The following is a 21,459-nucleotide window of genomic DNA, read 5'->3' on the forward strand; positions in this document are numbered from 1 at the left end:
AAGAGGCAAGAATGACATTGGGGTCTGGGTAGGGATGAGGTTGGAGAGGTGGGGGAGGGGAATGTAGGTGAAAGCTGAGGATGGAAAGGACATAAAGATTGATGTGAAGGCCGAGTGCGGTGGCTCATGCCTGTACTCCTAGCACTTTGGAAGGTGGGCGGATCACCTGAGGTCAGGAGTTCAAGACCAGACTGACCAATATGGTGAAACCTGGTCTCTACTAAAAATACAAAAATTAGCCAGGCATGGTGGTGCATTCCTGTAGTCCCAGCTACTCAGGAGGCTGAGACAGGAGAATTGCTTGAACCCAGGCGGCGAAGGCTGCAATGAACTGAGATCTTGCCATTGCACTCCAGCCTGGATGACAGAGCTAGACTCCATCTCAAAAAAAAAAAAAAAAAAAAAAAAGATTGATGTGAGTTTGAAGATGAATTGTGGAAGTGAGTTGGGCTTGGGAATAGGAACATGGATGGAATTGAAAATGGAGGTTGGGGATGGGGGTTTAGGACTGGGACTCAGGATAGGGGTGAAGATAGATTAGGGATGAAGAGGAGGTTGCGTTTGGAGTTGGAATTGAAACTGGGGGCTGAGGAAGAACTAGGAACTCAAATAGGACTGAATAAGGAGGTTGATGGCCAGGTGCGGTGACTCATGCTTGTAATCCCAGCACTTTGGGAGGCTGAGGCGGGTGGATCACCTGAGATCAGGAGTTCAAGACCAGCCTGGCCAACATGGCAAAACCCCATCTCTACAAAAAATACAAAAAAAATTTAGCCAGGCATGGATGGTGATGCATGCCTGTAATCCCAGCTACTCAGGAGGTTGAGACAGGAGAATCGCTTGAACCCAGGAAGCGGAGGTTGCAGTGAGCTGAGATTGTACCATTGCACTCTAGCCTGGGCAACAGAGTGAGACCCTGTCTCAAAGGAAAAAAAAAAAAAAAGGAGGTCGCCAGAGGGAAATGGGTGGAAGGTGGGTGCTGAGAGGGGCCTGGGGTTGGGGGTTAAGAGTGAGACCAAAAGAGTTTAAAAGGGTGGAAGGTGAACATGGGGAAGAATGGGATATGAAACGGGGCTGGACCAGTTGGGGGTTGCCATGGTGTTGGACATAGACAATGACATTAAAGATGGCGTTTAGGCCAGGCGCAGTGGCTCATGCCTGTCATTCCAGCACTTTGAGAAGCTGAGGCAGGAGGATTACTTGAAGCCAGGAGTTCAAGACCAACTTGAGCAACATAGCGAGACCCCCATCTCTACAAAAAATGTGAAAATTAGCCAGGTGTGATCATATGTGCCTGTAGTCCCAGCTACTCTGGTGGCTAAGGTGGGAGGATTGCTTGAGCCCAGGAGGTCAGGGCTGCAGAGAGCCATGATTGCACCACTGCACTCTAGCCTCTAGCCTGAGTGATAGAGCGAGACCTTGTCTCCAAAACTAGATGGCATTTGGAGGAAAGGATGAGCTGTACGAGAAGCATACGGATGTGTCTCAGATAGAGACTGATGGTGGGCTTGGAATAAGTGTGGGGTGAGAACAGAAAAGGCACTGAGGAAGACACTGGGGCTTGGAGTAGGAATGGGGACTGAGGATGAAGACAGGGTGGTGTTAGGGATTGAATTACGTCCCCCCAGAAAAAAAAAAGATATGTGAAGTCTTCACCCCAGTACATCAGAATGTCACCTGATTTGGAAATAGGGTCTTTACAGAGGCAATCAAATTAAAGTGAGATCATAGGGCAGACCCGAATCCCATGTGAGTGGTGTCCTCATAAAAAGGAGAAATTGGCCACACGCCGTGGCTCAAGCCTGTAATCCCAACATTTTGGGAGGACGAGGCAGGCAGATCACTTGAGGTCAGGAGTTTGAGACCAGCCTGGCCAACATGATGAAACCTTACCTCTACTAAAGTACAAAAATTATCCAGGTGGCACATGCCTGTAATATCAGCTACTCGGGAGGCTGAGGCAGGAGAATTGTTTGAACCCCAGAGGCAGAGGATGCAGTGAGCCAAGATTGCACCACTGCACTCCAGCCTGGGCGACAGAGGCAAAAAAATAATAATAATAAAATAAATAAAATAAAGAAATTGAAGAAATTGGGGATAGAAAGAGAAGGGGGAGAGATGGGACCAAAATCAGGTATTCCCTTGGCTTTAGACATGGGAGTAGGGCTGAAGACGGCAGGTGGAGGAGGCAAAGATTGAGGGTGGGCATATATTAACAGGTGGCACTGAAGAGAAAGGTTGACGACAGGGATTAGGACTGCAGTGGTAATGGGTTGGAGCTGGCATGGAGGTGGGAGATGTGAGTTAGACATGTGAATTGCAGGTCGGGGTCACAGGTGGTAGCTGGGATGGGCTTAAGTATGAAGCCTGGGACCACCAGGGCTGGGGATGGACATGGGCACTGGGATTCTCCCAGGACAGGGTCAGGGCTCCGGACTCACCTGACAATGGCTCCTTCATCTTTGGGGGCTCTGGGACCTTGGGTGGGGGCTCTGGAGCTGCCTCGCCTGCAGGCACCACTCTCTCAGCCAGGGACGCACGCTGGGGCTTGGATCCACGCCCCAGTCTCAGGAAGGCCAGTCTCCGGGCGGCCTCCCCCGCTGCCTCCTCGTCGCCGTGGGCTCGGGTCCCATGCAGCCGGGCCAGGAGGCCAAAATCTGCTGAGCTCCTGCGTATCCCTGGTACCAGCACACGGCCCAAGAAAGAGCGGGGCTGCCCATCCCCAGGGCTGCCTGCCCGCCGGCCCGGGGCCCAGCCCAGCCGGAAGGGGGCCAGGCCCGCAAGCTTCTCCAGGGTGGCGCGGCGGCGACAAGATGTTCCATTGGGGAGGGACCCCAGCTCCCCGGCCTCTTCTTCCTCCAGCCCTGAAACTTCTTCAAAGGGGTTCCGAGAGGACCTCAGGGGCAGGGTCCCCGCCCGGGGCACCTTAGGGTCTGACACTCCCAGATTCTTCAGGATAGGCATTTTGACAGGTGGGGACCTGGGGAAAAAAATAATGACCATGGGCGATGCTGATGACAATGGTGGTATGGATGACGGTGCCTCTGTGTACCGAGCACTTTGGGGTGAGCGTACCAGACACTTGCCTGAGCACTTAATAAGCCCTTGATCTGCACAAGCTTATAAGATGGGGACTTTTTTTTTTTTTTTTTTTGAGACGGGGTCTCGCTCTGTCGCCCAGGCTGGAGTGCAGTGGCACGATCTCAGCTCACTGCAAGCTCCGCCTCCCGGGTTCACGCGATTCTCCTGCCTCAGCCTCCTGAGTAGCTGGGACTACAGGCGCCCACCACCACGCCCGGCTAACTTTTGTATTTTTAGTAGAGACGGGGTTTCACTGTGTGAGCCAAGATGGTCTCGATCTCCTGACTTTGTGATCCACCTGCCTCGGCCTCCCAAAGTGCTGGGATTACAGGCGTGAGCCACCGCGCCTTGCCTCTTTTTTTTTTTTCTTTTGAGATGGAGTCTCACTCACTCTGTCACCCAGGCTGGAGTGCAGTGGCACGATCTCGGCTCACTGCAACCTCCGCCTCCCAGGTTCAAGCAAGTCTCCTGCCTCAGCCTCCGGAGTAGCTGGGACTACAGGCGCGCGCCACCACACAAGGCTAAGTTTTATATTTTTAGTAGATATGTGGTTTCACCATGTTGGCCAGGCTGGTCTTGAACTCCTGACTCAGGCGATCCACCTACTTCAGCCTCCCAAAGTGCTGGGATTACAAGAGTGAGCCACCTCTGCTGGCCTGGAATATTCTCTATCTTAAGTTGATCCTCCTACTCCGTGGAGAAACAGGCTGAGAGGGGGGAAGGCTCCCTCCCAAGATGACACAGTCAGTCAAGGGCAGAGATGATATGGGGACTCAGGCCCTACCATCCACCCAGACGTCCAGGGCAGACTCCTGAGCACCTGCCTACACCCCCTCATCCCCTTCATTTCTCCTGTTTGATTTGTACCCTTGTCATCTCTCCCTCATTCATCTCTTCAGCAAAAACTTATTGGGAAATGTCTAGAATAGGCAAAGCCTAATTTTTTTTTTTTTTTTTTTTGAGACTGGGACTCACCCTGTCACCCAGGCTGGAGTGCAATGGCCCCATCATAGTTCACTGCAGCCTGAAACTCCTGGGCTCAAATGATCCTCGTACCTCAGCCTCCTCAGCAGCTGGGACTACAGGTGTGTACCACCATGCCCACTTAATTAATTAATTAATTTATTTATTTATTTATTGAGACAGGGTCTTGCTATGTTGCCCAGGCTGGTCTCAAACTCCTGGCCTCAAGGGATCTATCCACTTCTGCCTCCCAAAGTGCTGGGATTACAGGTGCAAATCACCTCGCAGGTCTCTAGGCAAATCCTTAGAGACAGAAAGGAGACTGACAATAGGACTGGAGAGAACGGGGAATGGCGAGTGGCTGCTAATGGATGCAGGGTTTCCTTTTGGGGAAAGGAAGACACTCTGGAACTAGATAAAGGTGATGGTTGTACAACACTGTGAATGCATTAAGTGCCACTTAATTGTATGCTTTTAAAATGGCTTAAGGCCAGGCGTGGTCGCTCATGCCTGTAATCCCAGCACTTTGGGAGGTGGAGGCAGGCAGATCACCTGAGGTCAGGAGTTCGAGACCAGCTTGGCCAACATGGTGAAACCCCGTCTCTACTAAAAATAAAAAAAGTAAAAAATTAGCCGGGCGTGGTGGCATGCACCTGTAATCCCAGCTACTCGGGAGGCTGAGGCAGGAGAATTGTTTGAACCCAGGAGGCAGAAGTTGCGGTGAGCTGAGATCACACCACCGCATTCTGGCCTGGGCAATAGAGCAAGACTCAGTCTCAAAAAATAAAATAAAACAAAACAACTTACTAGGTATTAGCCATGGGCCCAGCCCTGTGCAGGCGTTAGGGACACAGCAGTGGCCAGGGCAGCCCCCATCCCTGCCATTACAGCTTCCTGAGTCCTGCCCATTCCATCTCCTAAGCCTCTCTTCAGTCTGCGCTCCCTCCTTTCACTCACTTCCCATAGCCCCTACCCCAAGCGGAACCCTTGCCCACTTCCCTGCCCTGGCCTCCTCCCTGGTCCCCAGCCTCTAGTCTTGGCACCTCCAGTCCGCCTTTGAGGACCTTGAAAAAGCGCAAACCAGGCCGGGTGCAGTGGCTCACGCCTGTAATCCCAGCACTTTGGGAGGCCGAGGCGGGCGGATCACAAGGTCAGGAGATCGAGATCATGGTGAAACCTCGTCTCTACTAAAAATACAAAAAATTAGCTGGGTGCAGTGGCAGGCGCCTGTAGCCCCAGCTACTCGGGAGGCTGAGGCAGGAGAATGGCATGAACGCGGAAGGCGGAGATTGCAGTGAGCTGAGATCGCGCCACTGCACTCCAGCCTGGGCGACAGAGCAAGACTCCATCTCAAAAAAAAAAAAAAAAAAAGAAAAGAAAAAGCACAAACCTGCTCTTCTCCATCTCCTAAGCCTTCCATGGCTCCCTAGTATCTTCAGGACAAAGCTGAGGCCTCTCACCACAGCCTTCATGCTCTGGCAGCTGCACACGTCACTAGTGCTGTCCCGTAGCCTCCTCCTTACCCCAGGAACCTCCAGGTTTCAGCATCTGCTGGTGCTTCTACATAGACGCCTGTTCTCCATGCTCCAGTCAGGACTTCAGGACTCACACTTCAGGACTCAGCCCCATGCCCCCTCCTCCAGGAAGCCCTCTGTGACCCTCAGGCTCCCAGTCCCTGGGTTCCCACACCTCACCTCTGCCTGCTCTGGGTCATCCCTGTCTGGGGACAGATCTGTGTCCCTTACTGGACTGCAAACCTCAGCAGGACAGGGCTGGGGCTGTCTCAGTCACCACTGTGTCCCCAGCTCCCAGCACAGGGCAGACACTCAGGGAATGGGTGCTAAACAGGAAATGAAGGAAGGAAAGTGGCAAGACAGTTCATTCCTTGTGTGGGGAGGAGGAGGGTGAGTCGAGCTGGAAGAGGTCACTAGGGAGCAGGCCACGCAGGGCTTTAAGTTCCTTGATAAGGGACAGGCTTTCTTCCAAGAGCCCTGCAGAGCCACAGATAGGTGCTTTTTAAAACAATGAAATAGTTCAAACATTCGGAAAAGTACAGAAGACAAGCTTAATAAACACTTCTGTGCCTACAATCCTAGCCACAGCTCACACAATCATTTGCTCTCTTAGTTCAGGTTTTTGTTGTTGCTTTTGTCTTTAGAGACAGGATCTCACTCTGTTGCCCAGGCTGGAGTGCAGAGGCGTGATCATGGCTGGCTGCAGCCTTGAACTCCTGGGCTCAAGCGATCCTCCCACCTCAGCCTCCCAAGCAACGGGGACATCCTGCTAATTTTATTGTTTAATTTTTTGTTATAGATGGGGTCTCGCTATATTGCCCATGCTGGTCTGGAACTCCTGCTCCTGGCCTCAAGCAATCCTCCCTCCTCGGCCTCCCAAAGTACTAGAATTACAGGCGTGAGCCACCATCCACTGCCCTGATTTTTGTTTTAAAGAACAAGCCAGGCGCAGTGGCTCACGCCTATAATCCCAGCACTTTGGGAGGCCGAGGAGGGAGGATCACCTGAGGTCAGGAGTTTGAGACAAACCTGGCAAACATGGTGAAACCCTGCCTCTACTAAAAACACAAAAATTAGCTGGGTGTGGTGGCGGGTGCCTGTAGTCCTAGCTACTTGGGAGGTTGAGGCAGGAGAATCACTTGAACCCAGGAGGCGGATGCTGCAGTGAGCCCAGACTGTGCCACTGCACTCCAGCCTAGGCAACAGAGCGAAACTCCATCTCAAAAAAAAAAAAAAAAAAAAAGAATTACAAATGCGTGCAGCCTCCTCCTGCCACCTCTCCTGGTCCCACTCGCTCTGGCCTTCTCCTAAGGAATCCAGCATCCAGAATGAATGTGCTGTTTACCCGTCCAAGTAGATTTTTATCCCATGCTCCATAGACTTGTATCCAGAAATAATATACTGTTCTACATGGTTTCAAACTCTCTATAAATGGTATCATACTATTTGTATCTTGCAACTTGCTTTAAAATTTATTTTTTTGCTCACGTTATGAACTTGTGAGAATTTATCCATGTCTAGCCATACAGCTCCAGTTCATTTAAGTGCTATGTAATATTCCACTATATGAATTGTGTAAAGGGTCAGATGTTCACTTGTTCTTCTATTGCTGGACGTGTAGCTTGTTTGTCACCACGACAGGGTTCTGAGCAGGTCAGGACAGGGTCAGGATTATGCAGACGTGCGGGGGTGGACAGGAGGCCTGGGAAGAGGGTGGTGTGCAAAAGGCCTGGGTTGCCTAGGTTATGAGTAAGAGCACCCCTTTCCATGATGGGGAGGCCCCTTCTTTCTTTCCCTGTTTCAACCCCTGAGCTGCTGCTTCTCAACCCTCCAGTTCCTAGAAACGCTCTCGGACCTCCTTCCGGTCTCCATGGGCCCCCGCCCCCACAGGAGGCAGTCACCATGACGACCCCTTGCCTGGAGCCCCCATGGCTGTGTGCAATAGATACTCCCCCATGCACACACATTATTTGCACACTCATTTCTCTTCTATTTTATTTTATTTTTTCAGATGGAGTCTCGCTCTGTCACCCAGGCTGGAGTGCAATGGCGCGATTTCAGCTCACTGCACCTCCACCTCCAGGGTTCAAGCGATTTCTCCTGCCTCAGCCTCCCAAGTAGCTGGGACTACAGGTGCCCACCACCACGCCTGGCTAATTTTTGTATTTTTAGTACAGATGGGGTTTCACCATATTGGCCAGGCTGGTCTCGAACTCCTGACCTTGTGATCCGCCTGTTTCAGCCTCCCAAAGTGCTGGGATTACAGGTGTGAGCCACCGCACTCTGTCCTTCTCTTTTATTTTTTAGACAGTCTCACTCTGTCACCCAGGTTGGAGTGCAGTGGCATGGTCTCGGCTCACTGCAACCTCTGCTTCCCAGGCTCAAGCAATCCTCCCACCTCAACCTCCCGAGTAGCTGGGAGTACAAGTGCAAGTCACCACACCTGGCTAATTTTTGTATTTTTAGTAGAGATGAGGTTTCGCCCTGTTGCCCAGGTTGGTCAACTCCTGAGTTCAAGCGATCCACCTGCCCCAGCCTCCCAAAGTGCTGGGATTACAGTCATGAGCCACCACACCCAGCCTTGATTTCTCTTTCATCCTCTGAACTGGCATCCACATGCCTCATCCCAAAATGGCTCCATCATCCCCCCTCCACCCCATAACTGTCTCCATCTTCCTCTCAAAATTTCAGGCTCGAATTTCCCTCCAATTGAAGTCAACCTTGCCCGGACTACATCTGACTTTCCCCCACCTGGCTTCAATATCGCCTCCAAACTGGATCCAACATCCCCAAACCTGGCTGCAACATTTTCCCAAAACTGTCTCCGACGTCTTTCCCCTTCCTGGCTCCAACACCCGCCTCTGCAAACTGGTGCTGACATCCTGCCCCCTCCAACCCTCTGTCTGCCTCCCAGTGCCCAGCCCCTGACTCACTTCCGAGGCATCCCTCAAGCCCCCAGCCTCTCAGGCCCGCAGGATGTCTTGGCCACCAGAGCTTCCCTCTTTGAGCCCCTCCTCCTCTTCCTCACTGCCAGCCTTTTCCCCGGAGTCCCTAACCTTCTGCAGCGGCCCTGACCTCGGTTTGCGGAATCCATCACCTCCAACGCTCAGCATCTGTATTAGAGAACGGTCTTTCCATATGGCATGTCCCCAAGCCCAACCCCAACCAGTGCAACCCCAATCTAGTCCTTGACCCCAAACACAATCCTGTCATCAGCCCAGACCACTGCAAGCTCATCCACATCTCCAATCCCAACCTGATCTCGGTCTCTCCTGCTTGATCTCAATCCCTACCTGGTCCCTGTCTCCCATCTCCGAGACCCCATCTCTTGGGATAGAACAAATACCCGATCCTTCCTGGCCTCAGTCTTCCCGCCCAGACTCGCAGGACATTCGACCCAATGTCATCTCATCTCTATTCTCCTTTGGTGGCACCAAGGTTTCTAATGCTCCCTTGCACCCTTTGTGGACCCCGCGAGTCCTCAAATTCTCCCCTGCACCCTCCTCTCATTTTCATCTCCTTTCTGCCTTCTCGCCAGCACCCCTCTGGAGTCAGGCCCCAGATTCTCTCTTTGCCCCCAGCCTCTGCTGGGTTCAAGGTACAGGTTCTCATCAGCTCTGGTCCAGTGCAACTAAGGGCAACTGTTTTCCCAGTTGCCCTGGGGAAGGGGGACCCCTTCCCCCTGTCCCCAGCACACTCACCTCTGTCCTCCTGCCCGTCCTTCTGTTCCCGCTGCTGTCCTGTCCCCAGGCTACTTCAGCCAGGACTGCTGGGAGCTTGGATCTGAGTTGGGGGGGTGCTCGGAGGAGGACAATTTCCTGTCAGGAAACCCCTCCCTCTCTGGGGCCAGGGGCGGGAAGGACTCATTATCTGTCTGCCCTTTTAGGCCAGGCTGCGGTTGGGCTGGGAAGGCCGAGGCCCACAGCTGGGCCCCCACCCTCACCCCCGCTCCAGGCCGGAATCCGCCCACTCCTGCATGCTCTTCACGCCTCCCAAGGTGACAACACCATCCTGGGCGCCCCGGGGAGACACCCCAAGCTGGACGCCAGCCCAGAGCTGCTCTCCAGCATGGGCAAGCCCCGAGGCCTTAGAATGAGAACCGGGGGGCAGGCACGCATCTCTCTAGAGTTCCCTGCCACGGGCTGAAGACCAGGAGGGAAGTTTTGCTGGGCCCAGGGGCTGGGGAGGGGGACCTATGGAGGAGGGCACTGGACATGGCTTTGGAATTGTGGTTCTCTTTGTCTAGAAGCCCCTGTACCCAGGTCTCTGCATGAGGCCCTCCTTTTCATCATCCCAGTTCCAGCCCCACAGTCTCTTCCTCTGTTCTCCACTGTCCCGTCTCACAGAGTCGTCACTCTGCTTTGTCAATTTATTTTTCTTTTTTTTTTTCCTGAGACAGAGTCTTGCTCTGTTGCCCAGGCTGGAGTGCAGTGGCGTAACAATAGCTTACTGCAGCCTGGATCTCCCAGACTCAAGAGATCCTCCCACCTCAGCTTCCTGAGTAGCTGGGACTACAGGCATGCACCACCATGCCCAGCTAATTTTTGTATTTTTTGTAGAGACACGGGTCTCATTAGGTTCTCCAGGCTGGTCTCAAACTCCTGGCCTCAAGCCATCCTCCTGCCTCGGCTTCCCAAAGTGCTGGGATTACAGGCGTAAGCCACTGTGCCCAGCCTGTCAATTTCTTTATTGCACCTTCTACAATCTGAAATTATCAGATGCAACTGGATTCCTTGCAGATAAACTCAGCAAAGCTCACTTTGTTGATCCTGTTCATCTTTATAAGCCTAGCTGCGTGCCTGGCCCTCAGTAGTCAAGATTTAAATGAATTTAAATGAAGCTGAGGGTTGGAGGTGGGTTTGGAGATGGACTTCCTGCTAGAGTTGGGATGCCAAGTGAAGTGAGGGCTGGGGCTGGAGCTGGTGCTGGGTGGGGTTGGGTATGAGAGTCAGGGTTACTTTAAAAGGCTAGGGCCATGTGTGGTGGCTCATGCCTGTAATTCCAGCACTTTGGGAGCCAAGGCAGGGGGATTGCTTGAGCCCAGGAGATCAAGACCAGCCTGATAATATAGCAAGACCCCGTCTCTACAAAAAAAAAAATTTTTTTAATTAGCCAAGTGTGGTGGCACGCTGTAGTCCTAGTTACTAAGGGAGCTGAAGTGGGAGGATCACTTGATCCTGGGAGGTGGAGGCTGCAGTGAGCCATGATCTCGCCACTGCGCTCCAGCCTGGGTGACAGAGAGAGACCCTGTCTCAAAAATTAAGAAAAAAAAAATTTTTTTTAAATAAATAAAACTGGGCTGGTTGCAGTGGCTTATGCCTATAATCCCAGCACTTTGGGAGGCCAAGGTGGGTGGATCGCTTGAGGTCAGAAGTTTGAGACCAGCCTGGCCAAACTGATGAAACCCTGCCTCTACTAAAAACACAAAAATTAGCCAGGTGTGGTGGTGCATACCTGTAATCCCAGCTACTCGGGAGGCTGAGACGGAAGAAATCGATTGAACCCAGGAGGCAGAGGTTGCGGTGAGCCGAGATTGTGCCACTGCACTCTCCGGCCTGTGAGACAGAGTGAGACTCCATCTCAAATAAACAAACAAACAAATAAATAAATAAGATAAACTGTGTTCAAGTGCTCAGGCACAGCCTGAGGGGGATGCGTGATCACTGGCCTAGGCAAAGTCCAGGCTGGGATCAGGGTTGGGGTCAACATTAGGATCGGGGGCTGGGCTTAGGGATCACAGCTCCCTCCTGGATCCAAGGGTTAAGATTCAAAGGTCTGAATGCCCCAGTTGAAGGAATGAATTCACCAGACATAGGTTGTGGAGGAAGGGCTAGCTGGATGACCAGGTCGGGAGGCAGAGGAACAGGCCTTGCCCCCCAGCTCGGCCTCTGCACCGCGGACCCATGGTCAGCAGTGGCCCATCATGTACTGGGATCGTGCAGGATTTCCACCCCGCCTTATTTATTTATTTATTTATTTATTTATTTAGAGACGGAGTCTTGCTCTGTCGCCAGGCTGGAGTGCAGTGGCGTGATCTCTGCTCACTGCAACCTCCGCCTCCTGGGTTCAAGCAATTCTTCTGCCTCAGCCTCCCGAGTAGCTGGGACGCAGGCGCTTGCCACCTGCAAGCGCCCGGCTAATTTTTTGTATTTTTTTTAGTAGAGACAGGTTTTCACTGTGTTAGCCAGGATGATCTCGATCTCCTGACCTCGTGATCTGCCCGCCTCGGCCTCCCAAAGGGCTGGGATTACAGGCGTGAGCCACCGTGCCCGTCCCCCTCCTTTTTAAAAATTATTTTTTTTATTTTGATTTAGAGACAGGGTCTCACTATGTTGCCCAGGCTGGTCTCGAACTCCTGGGCTCAAGTGATCCTCCCGTTCTGGCCTCCCAAAGTACGGGGATTACAGGTGTGAGTCACCGCGTCCAGCCCCCTTTTTAAATTTTATTATTATTTTTTATTGAAATACAATTCACATACATAAGAGTCACCCTTTTCAAACAGAGTCCGGTAGGTTTTAGTATATTCACAAGGTTGCAGCAAGCGTCACCACTATTTAATTCCAGAACATTCTCATCACCCCAAAAAGAAACCTGGTACCCATCAGCAGTCATTTCTCATTCCCCAGCCTCCAACCCCTGGCAACCATTAATCTACTTTCTGTCTATGGATTTGCCAATTCTGAATATTTCATATGAATGGAAGCATACAGTAAGTGGTCTTTTGCGTCTGACTTCTTTCGCTAAACATGCTGTTTTCTTTTTTTCTTTTTTGAGACGGATTCTCACTCTGCCGCCCAGGCTGGAGTGCAGTGGCGCGATCTCAGCTCACTGCCAGCTCCGCTTCCCGGGTTCACGCCATTCTCCTGCCTCAGCCTCCTGAGTAGCTGGGACTACAGGCGCCCGCCACCGCGCCCGGCTAATTTTTTGTATTTTTAGTAGAGACGGGGTTTCACCGTGGTCTCGATCTCCTGACCTCGTGATCCGCCCGCCTCGGCCTCCCAAAGTGCTGGGATTACAGGCGTGAGCCACCGCGCCCGGCCACATGCTGTTTTCAAGGTTCATCCACTTTGCAGCCTCCCTCTCTGTAAGCCTCGGTCCCCCCACATCTGGGAAATGGGGTGGGGACGCTGTTGGGGAAGGGAGGGCAGGGGTGGACCCTGGAGTGTGTGGGGCGCGTGTAGGGAGGTGATCGGCTGCCCCCGTGTGGTGCACGGTAGAACTGCAGCTCTCAGCGCCAATGCAGGGAACGGGTTGGGGGCGCTCAGCCCCTCTAGCCTACCCCCAAGACCCCCACTTTCACCCTGCGGCGTCCCTGGGATCACAGTACGTCTAGAACACTACCCCGGAACTCCACCCTCTCTGCCACTGTCCCTGAGGCTCCTCGGGCCATATTTGCCAAATAGTAATAATAATGTCCCCACATATGAATTTTGAATCTGGTCCCCTGTGAAGCACTTTACTCAAAGATTCTCATTTATTTGTTAGCAGTAACATTAAAATAACAAATAAATATAAACAAATTGACAAATAAAAATAGTAGCAGCCTGAGGTTGCTGCTATTATTTTTCGGAGACAGGAAACCACAGTGGTTGAGAGAGGGTCCAAGTTCTGGAACTTGGGAGCACTTGGATTCAAATTGTAGCCCTGCCACTAATTTGCCGTGTGACCTTCAGCGTGTGACGTTTCTCCCTTCCTTGGGCCTCTGTTTCCTCATCTGCAAATGGGATTGATAAAGATGCTCCCTACCTCTTGGGGTGGCAGAAAGGAGAAACTGCTCAGAGCCTGGCACAAGGGCAACTGCCATGAGTCTGTGTTGCTCATAGTATCAAGCAGTGCTGTGCTTTCACAACCAGCTTTTGGCTGAGTGCAGGGTAGTCCCAGCACTTTAGGAGGCCGAAGTGGGAGGATCGCCTGAGCCTGAGAGTTGGAGATCAGCCTGGGCAATATGGCTACAAAAAATTAGCTGGGCGTGGTGGTGCACACCTGTAGTCCCAGTGACTTGGTGGGGCTGAGCTGGGAGGATTGCTTGAGCCGGGGATGTCCAGGCTGCGGTGAGCCATAATCGTGCCACTGCACTCTAGCCTGGGTAATGCAGTGAGACCCTGTCTCAAAAACAAAACAAAGCAAAGCAAAACAAAACACCCCCAGCTCTCTGCAGGTGGGGGTGTGGAGCCTTAATTTGTAGCATTTGCCAATTTCCATGGTGTAAATATTCCCACCATGGCTAATTTCAAGCTACCAAGGTGATATCACATGGCATTTTTGCCCCCCATTATATAGTAATTTTACTGTGCAGCTACAATAGACGTAGGTAACCTCAAGATCACAGATAATGGCAAATGTAGTAAGATAACTAGGACGTGATGAGTATGTATTACTTGTACCTTTAATGTAATTTAATTGTATGTTTGCATAATTTAATTTTTAATAATGGCTGTGTTTAACAACCAGTTCCAAAATTCCTGAGACATAACAATCAGCTCGCTCCAGCCAGATCCAGCACACTGCTGTTTTAGAAGGGGAAACTGAGGCTCAGGAAAATAAGCCTCAGATAGAAGAAGGCAGGGCACAGACCCCTTCCCAAAACCATGTGACTCCCAGGCCAAGACTATGTAATGCCTGTCTTTCTTTCATCCCACCCTGGTCCACAGAGCATGGATGGTCCCCACAGCGCTGTGTGGCCTCCGAGAGGCTCTTGTCCTCTCTGGTCTCAGCCTGCCCGCATGGGGAGTGGCTGTGCCCTGCAGGCGAATACCTGCACAGGGTTCCTTCGCACCTGCCAGTGAGCAACACACGGATTCTTCCTTTCACTTTACAAACTGGGAAAGTGAAGCCCAGAAAGGGCAAGTGCTTGCCCCGGGTCATACAGGTGGACAGAGAGGGTCCCCACACCCCAGCTGGGGTGCAAAGGAGTGGATGCTGCAGCCCCAACCTGCGGGTCTGGATCTATGTGGCTGAGTGGAGGCAGCCTGACTAGGGAGGTCACTGAGCCCTCAGCAGTGGCCAAGCCCCGCACACCATCCCCTTCACCCACCCCACCCTTAGGCCTCCGAGGGGAGAGCTTCCCCCGCTCCCCCCCGCCAACTGGGGAGAGAATGGGCCAGGGGGAGGGACAATGTGGGCAGCGCCTCTGGGGTCTTCTCTGGCTCAGTCCCTTTATCTCTATCTCTTCACAGATCTCTGCGTCTCTGTATCTCTTTGTCTCTCCCTGTGTGTGTGTGGGGTCTCTCTCAGTCTTTGTCCCTCTGCGTCTCTGGGTCTCTCTGTCTCTGTCTCCCTGCGTCTCTCTCTCTCTGTCATCTGGCTCTTCCTTCATCTCCTTGCGCCTCTCCACCCTTTTGTAACTCGTCTCTCTCTCTTCGTGTCTCTCTATCTCTACGTCTCTCGATCTCTCTCTCTGCGTCTCTGGCGCTCTGCCCCGGCCTCTCTCTCCCCTTCTCTCCTCTCCAGTGCGCCTCTCGTCTCGGGCGAGAACACGCTCCCCGCCGGCGTGCCCAGACCCGCCTCCGCCCCCGGAGCCCCCGGAGCCCCCGGCGCCCCGACCAGCCCGGGCCTGCGCCTTTAAGGGCCGGCGGCGGGGGGCGGGGTCCCGGCGCCCCGCCCTGCCCGCCCCTCCCCCTGACGTCCCTTCCTCCCTCCCCAGCCCCTCCACCGCCTCCCTCCGCCGCCGCTTGGGCCGGCTCCGCGCCCCCTCCGCGGCCCCCGCCCGCCCGCCTGCCCGCCGCCCCCATGGCGCCCGGGGTCCCCGCTGCACGGGGCCACTAGGACCCTCGGCGTCCCTTCCCCTCCCCCGCCCTGCCCCCTCTCCCGCCGCGCGGACCCGGGCGTTCTCGGCGCCCAGCTTTTGAGCTCGCGTCCCCAGGCCGGCGGGGGGGGAGGGGAAGAGAGGGGACCCTGGGACCCCCGCCCCCCCCACCCGGCCGCCCCTGCCCCCCGGGACCCGGAGAAGATGTCTTCGCGGACGGTGCTGGCCCCGGGCAACGATCGGAACTCGGACACGGTGAGTGGGGCCCGGCCCCTTGGGGAGCCCTGGCTGGGTCCAGCCGCCAAACCCTTCTCCCCGTTGTACCCCTCGCCCCGCGAGCCCCTACCCTCGTTTCCTGGGCCCGACCCGGCTCGTCACCTCTCGACCCCTCCCGGACTTCCAGGCCTCTCCACCCTCCCCACCTTTTCCAGCCCAGCCCGACCCCTGGGGGCGCCCCTCTCTCGGGACCCCTCTCTTGTCCCCGTGCAGACCGCTTCCGCTCGGGTCTGTTCCCTCCAGGAAGCCCCTTCCCCTGCTTCCAGGAGCCCCTCCCTTCTCTTGCCTGTGCTAAGCCGTTTCCCCTCCAGGCCGTCCGCGTCCGACACCTCGCCCCCTCCCGGATTTGCAGGGCCCCTGACCCCCCAAGGCCCGGCCCTGGCACTCTCAGCAGGGCCTGGCCCAGTCCTGCCTCTGGCTCCGGCCTTCCCTGTCTGGGGCTGGGTGCCGGCTCCCCAGGAGCCCCCCTCCTCTTATTCCCAGCCCTCTGCCCCTCCAGGACGCACCCAGGGCGCCTGTGGGCAGCCCCTGGCAGGAAGCTGGTTTCCACCTCTCCTGGGCCCCGGCCCTTTTCTGGCTTCTTCAAGGTCTCTCCCGTCCCAGGCCTGGTCCCCATCTTCCAAGCAGCCCTGTCCCTAGATCCCAGCACCCCGGGGCCCCCAGATGCCACCTGGACCCTTTCTGGTCTCTTCCTCTCCCAGGAAGCCTTGGCCTCCAACTTCTAGGCCCTCACCTCACCCAGGCTGGTATTTCTAGGCCCTGGACCAGTCTGACTCCAGGCCTCATCCGCCCTCTATCAACTTCTCAGCTTCAGGCAGCCCCTTCCCCAACCCCCAACCTCTGGACCCCCTGCTAGGCCAAACTCAGACCCCTTCCCCACAAACCACCGTCCTTTCTCCTGCCCCAGGGCCTCCCCCTTCCTTGCTGGGAGTCTGGCCTTCCAAGGAAGCCCCCTCCTCAGCTTCAGAGGCCTTCCTCAGCTACAGGGCCTGGCCCCAGATCCTTCTTCCAGAAAACTCCTGGACCTGAAGCCTCTCGTCTTGCCCTGGTTTCAAGCCCTTTTCCCTTGGGTCAATCTGCTGGAAGCTTTCTCCCCAAATTTCTAGACCCCTTGACCTTCCCCAGGGCTCAGCCTTTATTCATCTGGGCTGCTCCTTGCCCAAGAAGTTCCTACCCCATACTTCCAGGCCCCCCAGACCCTTCTCTGGTTTCAAGGACTTCTCCTAGAAGCCCCCTTCTCTGATTCCTAGGAGCTTCCCCAAGACCCAGGGATTCCTGGCCTCTGACTTCCACTGCCCCCATGGCTTTGTCACTTTCCACCATTCCCAGGCGCCCCCTGCCCCTACACTGCTTCCCAGAGAGGCCCCTCCCCATCTCCTGTGTCTCTGATCACTGATCACTTCCAAAGACCTGCCCACCACCCAATCCTAGACTTCTCCCCACCTGGGATCTTTGTGGCTTTCTCCAAATCCTTCTGCCAGGTCCCTGTTCCCCTTCCCCCTGTTTCCCTCACCTCCGACAGACCCCCCCACACACACACACCATCAGAGAGATTTATATCTGTCCCTTCCTCATCTTGCAGATCCCTCCCTCACAGAGACCACCCCGCATCATCACTATGGGCCAGAACTCCAATTTGGAGTCTAATGAAATGCCTACCACCTCTGTTCCTTGGTCACTACAATCTACAGTGAGGTGCCAGGGGCTCCACAGTCCTGGGTTCCAATGCTGACATGGCCAGCTGGTTTGCCTTGTGTCCTCAGACAACCAGTTCTCCCTTTCTGAGCCTCAGTTTCCTGCCCTGGAAAATAGGGGTGACCGCTTGAGTGCCTCCAAGGCTTACTCGATTCAGGCGAAGGCTGGCACCTAGGAAGCACTCCACAAATGCCAGCTGCTATTGTGGCTGTGGGTATGAGTCAGACAGCCCGTGGATTCTCAGCTCAGGGCTGTTATTGGTTGTTGAGTGAGCCTGCAGATTCACTCCCAGCTTGCAGCCTCAGTTTCCTTATCTCTAAATCGGGTTGATGATGGCCCCCCACTGTTAGGGATGTTTGCAGGAGCCAGCGACGTGATGTGACTAAGGTGCACAGGGCCTGGCATGTGTCGTGGCTGTTGTGGTTATTAGCACTACTTTAATTGTTCAGATAAACTTGGGTTCACATCCTGTTTCTGTCCCTCCCTAGCTGTGTGACCTCGGGCAAGTAACCTTACCTCTCTGAGCCTTGGTTTCCTTGTCTGTTAAGTGGAACGCCTAATGAAGACTTGCTGTTCCCTGGGTTGTTAAGATGCGTGCATGGTGCGGATTTGAGGATGGCTAATCCCCTTTTCTCTCCTCCAACTCTTGTCACTAAGACCTGCCTGTCAGTCCTGGTGGGGAGTCACTTGCCTGCCTCTGGAATGGGAGGTTGCAGCCCCCTCTCCTGTTACCTGGTTACCATGGCTACAGCCACGTGGGGTCATGCTCCCCCACCCCAAGTTCCAGGGCCCCCCACCAGGGGGCCAGCCTCCCCAGGTTCCCTAGCAACAGTCCCGGGTGTTGGGGCGCCAGCCGGGCGGGAGGGAGCCAGGCCAGCTGGTGGTGCAGGCCAATTTTAGCTCCCACCCCCGGCCCCCAGGGGCTTTGTCACCCACTGCCCCAGCTGCCCCTCGCAGGGGTCCCTCAGCCATGCTGCCTTCAGCGTGGTGCCATCCCACCTCCAGCTGGCTGCCCTGGCGCCACCTGACAGGGCTTCTTCTCCAGGTCCTTATCTTGGTGGGGATCGGAGGCCTTATCTCCAGGATCTCCACCTGCCTCCCTGGTCTCTCCTGGGAAGAAGCCTGGGCCTGTGGGGAAGCCTGGCTCAGCACTCAGGAGGAATCAGCAGGCCGGGGTTCGCATCCCAGCACTCTGCTCCATCTGCCCTGTGACCTTGGGGGAGGGACTCCCCCTGCCTGAGCCTGGGTGTCCCCGTCTGAAGACTGCAGATCATAATTGGACCCACATTGGAGGCCAGGGTGAGGGCACGGCAGGCAGTGGCGGACGCGTGGTTAGAGCCCTGGCCGTGGTGGTTGGAACTGCCCAGCTGTGGGGAGGTTGTCTTTCTGCCCCTGTGAATGGACTGTGTGACCTTCACATGGCACCTTCCCTCTCCAAGGCTCAGTTTCTCTGCTGGAACATGGAGTCATTCCCTGGGCTACTGCAGGAATTAAGTGTAGGCGAGTTACCTGTTTACACAGGACTTGGTCCATAGCATGAGCTGCTTTGTAGAAATGGTTCATGACCCAGCGTGGTAGCTCACACCTATAATCCCAGAACTTTGGGAGACCCAGGCAGGAGGATGGCTTGAGCCTGGGAGCTGAAGACTAGCCCGGACAACATAGCAAGACTCCATCTCTACAAAAAAATTTAAAAATCAGCTGTGTGTGGTGGTGCACTCCTGTGGTCCCAGCTACTCAGGAGCCTGAGATGGGAGGATTTGCTTGAACCCAGGCAGTTGAGGCTCCAGTGAGCCTTGATTACACCACTGCACTTCAGCCTGGGTAACAGAGCAAGGCCCTGTCTCAAAAAAAAAAAAAAGGTTCAGGTGTGAGAGGCAGTGTGGTATTGTGACAGAGAAGAGCATCAAGTCTGGTGGAAACTATCGGGCACGGTGGCTCATGCCTGTAATCCCAGCACTTTGGGAGGCCGAGGTGGGCAGATCACCTGAGGTCAGGAGTTCAAGACCAGCCTGGCCAACATGGTGAAACCCCCTCTTTACTAAAAATACAAAAATTAGACGGTTGTGGTGGCGGGCGTCTGTAATCCCAGCCACTCGGGAGGCTGAGGCAGGAGAATTGCTTGAACCCAGGAGGTGGAGGTTGCAGTGAGTTGAGATCGTGCCATTGCACTCCAGCCTGGGCAACAAGAGTGAAACTCTGCCAAAAAAAAAAAAAAAAAAAAAAAATACTGGTGGAAACTGTTTGGGTTCAGATCGTGGGTCCGGGTCTCACTTTCCCCACCTGTAAAATGGAGATAATAGTGTGGTAATGGCCTCATATTGCATCAATGACCAGCATTAATTAAACGTTAGTTGTCGTTGCTATCAAGTGGCCCGGCAGTGTCTTTCTCAGAGACTTGGGCCCCCAGCCCATCAGCCTCTTGGCCTTTCTTCCTCCCCTCCTGTTGTCCTCCTGCTTCCCACTCCCAGCCGGAAGGGCACAGGCAGAACTGCCTTGGCGGGAGGCCTCAGGCACCCTGAGCCCCAGCCCTGAAAGGGAGACAGTCCCTGGGGCTTCCAATCAGGCCAGGGCAGCTCAGAGCAGGCAGGTGACCTGCGGGGGAGAGAGGCCAGGGAGGGACAGGACAGTAGGAACAGAACATCAGGAGGAGAGAAGCCATGGTGTGGGAGACAGCAAGTCAGGGCGCTTCTCAAGCCCTGGGTGTTTCAGGGGGTGGCAGAAGCAACAGTGTTTCCCATGGAAGGAGGATAACAGGGATTCAACCAGGTCTCAGGGCCAGTGAAAGACTTGGTTACCCTGCAGGGGGTGGTGGCTCAGGCCTGTAATGCCAGCACTTTGGGAGGCCGAGGTGGGTGGATCACCTGAGGTCAGGAGTTCAAGACCAACCTGGCCAACATGATGAAACCTCGTCTCTACTAAAAATACAAAATTAACCAGGTGTGGTGGCACATGCCTGTAATCCCAGCTACTCGGGAAAGCTGAGGCAGGAGAATCGCTTGAACCCAGGAGGCAGAGGTTGCAGTGAGCCAGACTGGGCCACTGCACTCCAGCTTGGGCAACAAGAGTGAAACTCTGTGTCAAAAAGAAAAAAAATAAGACTTGGTTACAATGTTTGGAGTCCAATCTGGGGTAACAGTGATTGGAATCAAATGTTAGGGGCATTCCACTGGGAATCAAATGTTGACATTTGGGTTTGAAGTAGAATTTGGGGGCTGGAGAGGGGACAGTTGATGGGTAAAATAGCAAGTCAGGACCAGTGGTGGTGGAGGAGGAGCCTCGAGTCCAGATTGAGGTCAGCGTTGATTGGGGTTGAGGGCAGCCTCATTTAGGGCAAAATATTGTAGAGTTGATCCAGGCTCCAGGACAGGCATATCCTGCTTTTTCGCACTTTGCCTTATTGAGCTTCACAGATACAGTGTTTTCTACAAATTGAAGGTTTCTGACGACCCTGTGTTGAGCAAGCCTGTAGGCTCCATTTTTCCAACAGCCTGTGCACAATTTGTGTCTCTGTCACATTTTGGTAATTCACACAGTATTTCAAACTTTTTCATCATTATTATAATAGCTGTTATGGTGATCTGATATCAGTGATGTTTTTCCTCTTTTTTTTTTAGAGACAGGGTCTTGCTCTGTTGCCCAGGCTGGAGTGCAGTGGCATGATCATAGCTCACTGCAGCCTTAACCTCCTGGGGCTCAAGCGATCTTCCCATCTCAGCCCCCTGAGTAGCTGGGACTATAGGCATATGCCACCATGCCTAGCTAATTTTTTTTTTTTAAGTTTTTCTAGAGATGGGTGTCTCGCTTCATTGCCCAGGCTGGTCTCAAACTCCCTGGCTTCAAGCGATCCTCCCGCCTTGTCAATGATTTTGTTTTATTGTGATTCACTGAAGGTTCAGATGATTGTTAGCATCTTTTAACAAGAAAGTATTATAAAATTAAAGTATGTACATTGTTTTTATAGCTGTAATGCTATTATTGCACACTCAGTAGACTGCAGTATGATGTAAACACAATTTTTCTTTCTCTTTTTTTTTTTTTTTTTTGAGATGGAGTCCCACTCTGTCACCCAGACTGTAGTGCAGTGGCGCGATCTCAGCTCACTGCAACCTCTGCCTCCCTGGTTCAAGTGATTCTCCTGCCTCAGCCTCCTGAGTAGCTGGGATTACAGGTGCGCGTCACCAT

At 53.9% G+C, this 21,459-nt stretch overlaps 2 protein-coding genes across 4 annotated transcripts in view, besides 4 other annotated features; one reads left to right on the forward strand and one right to left on the reverse strand.

The window, feature by feature from the left end:
* Window positions 1-9,326, reverse strand: part of EXOC3L2 (exocyst complex component 3 like 2) — a 33,038-nt gene extending 23,712 nt beyond the window's left edge. Inside the window, exons 1-2 of the mRNA NM_001382422.1 lie at window positions 9,260-9,326; window positions 2,442-2,980 (exon numbers count right to left, since the gene is read on the reverse strand). Coding sequence (NP_001369351.1) covers window positions 2,442-2,964 — 523 coding nt within the window. The 5' untranslated portion in view covers window positions 2,965-2,980; window positions 9,260-9,326. The remainder of the gene's footprint in view (window positions 1-2,441; window positions 2,981-9,259) is intronic.
* Window positions 9,020-10,016: an enhancer, noted in NCBI's record as "H3K4me1 hESC enhancer chr19:45748359-45749355 (GRCh37/hg19 assembly coordinates)". NCBI's record gives its function as "activates a minimal SCP1, AML or CMV promoter by ChIP-STARR-seq in naive H9 embryonic stem cells {active_cell/tissue: H9 hESC(naive)}" and the evidence as "EXISTENCE:reporter gene assay evidence [ECO:0000049][PMID:30033119]".
* Window positions 14,865-15,244: a silencer, noted in NCBI's record as "silent region_10759". NCBI's record gives its function as "represses an Ori minimal core promoter by ATAC-STARR-seq in GM12878 lymphoblastoid cells {active_cell/tissue: GM12878}" and the evidence as "EXISTENCE:reporter gene assay evidence [ECO:0000049][PMID:35858748]".
* The window catches only part of MARK4 (microtubule affinity regulating kinase 4), a 54,014-nt gene continuing 47,744 nt past the window's right edge, over window positions 15,190-21,459 (forward strand). For all 3 annotated transcript variants that reach the window (NM_031417.4, NM_001199867.2, XM_006723307.5), the window contains exon 1: window positions 15,190-15,558. In NM_031417.4, the coding sequence (NP_113605.2) occupies window positions 15,508-15,558 (51 nt within the window). In that variant the 5' untranslated portion in view covers window positions 15,190-15,507. The remainder of the gene's footprint in view (window positions 15,559-21,459) is intronic.
* Window positions 15,475-15,624: a silencer, noted in NCBI's record as "silent region_10760". NCBI's record gives its function as "represses an Ori minimal core promoter by ATAC-STARR-seq in GM12878 lymphoblastoid cells {active_cell/tissue: GM12878}" and the evidence as "EXISTENCE:reporter gene assay evidence [ECO:0000049][PMID:35858748]".
* Window positions 16,098-16,654: an enhancer, noted in NCBI's record as "H3K4me1 hESC enhancer chr19:45755437-45755993 (GRCh37/hg19 assembly coordinates)". NCBI's record gives its function as "activates a minimal SCP1, AML or CMV promoter by ChIP-STARR-seq in primed H9 embryonic stem cells {active_cell/tissue: H9 hESC(primed)}" and the evidence as "EXISTENCE:reporter gene assay evidence [ECO:0000049][PMID:30033119]".

The sequence above is a fragment of the Homo sapiens genome, chromosome 19 (genome assembly GCF_000001405.40).
Source record: "Homo sapiens chromosome 19, GRCh38.p14 Primary Assembly".
Classification (NCBI taxonomy): Eukaryota; Metazoa; Chordata; class Mammalia; order Primates; family Hominidae; genus Homo; species Homo sapiens.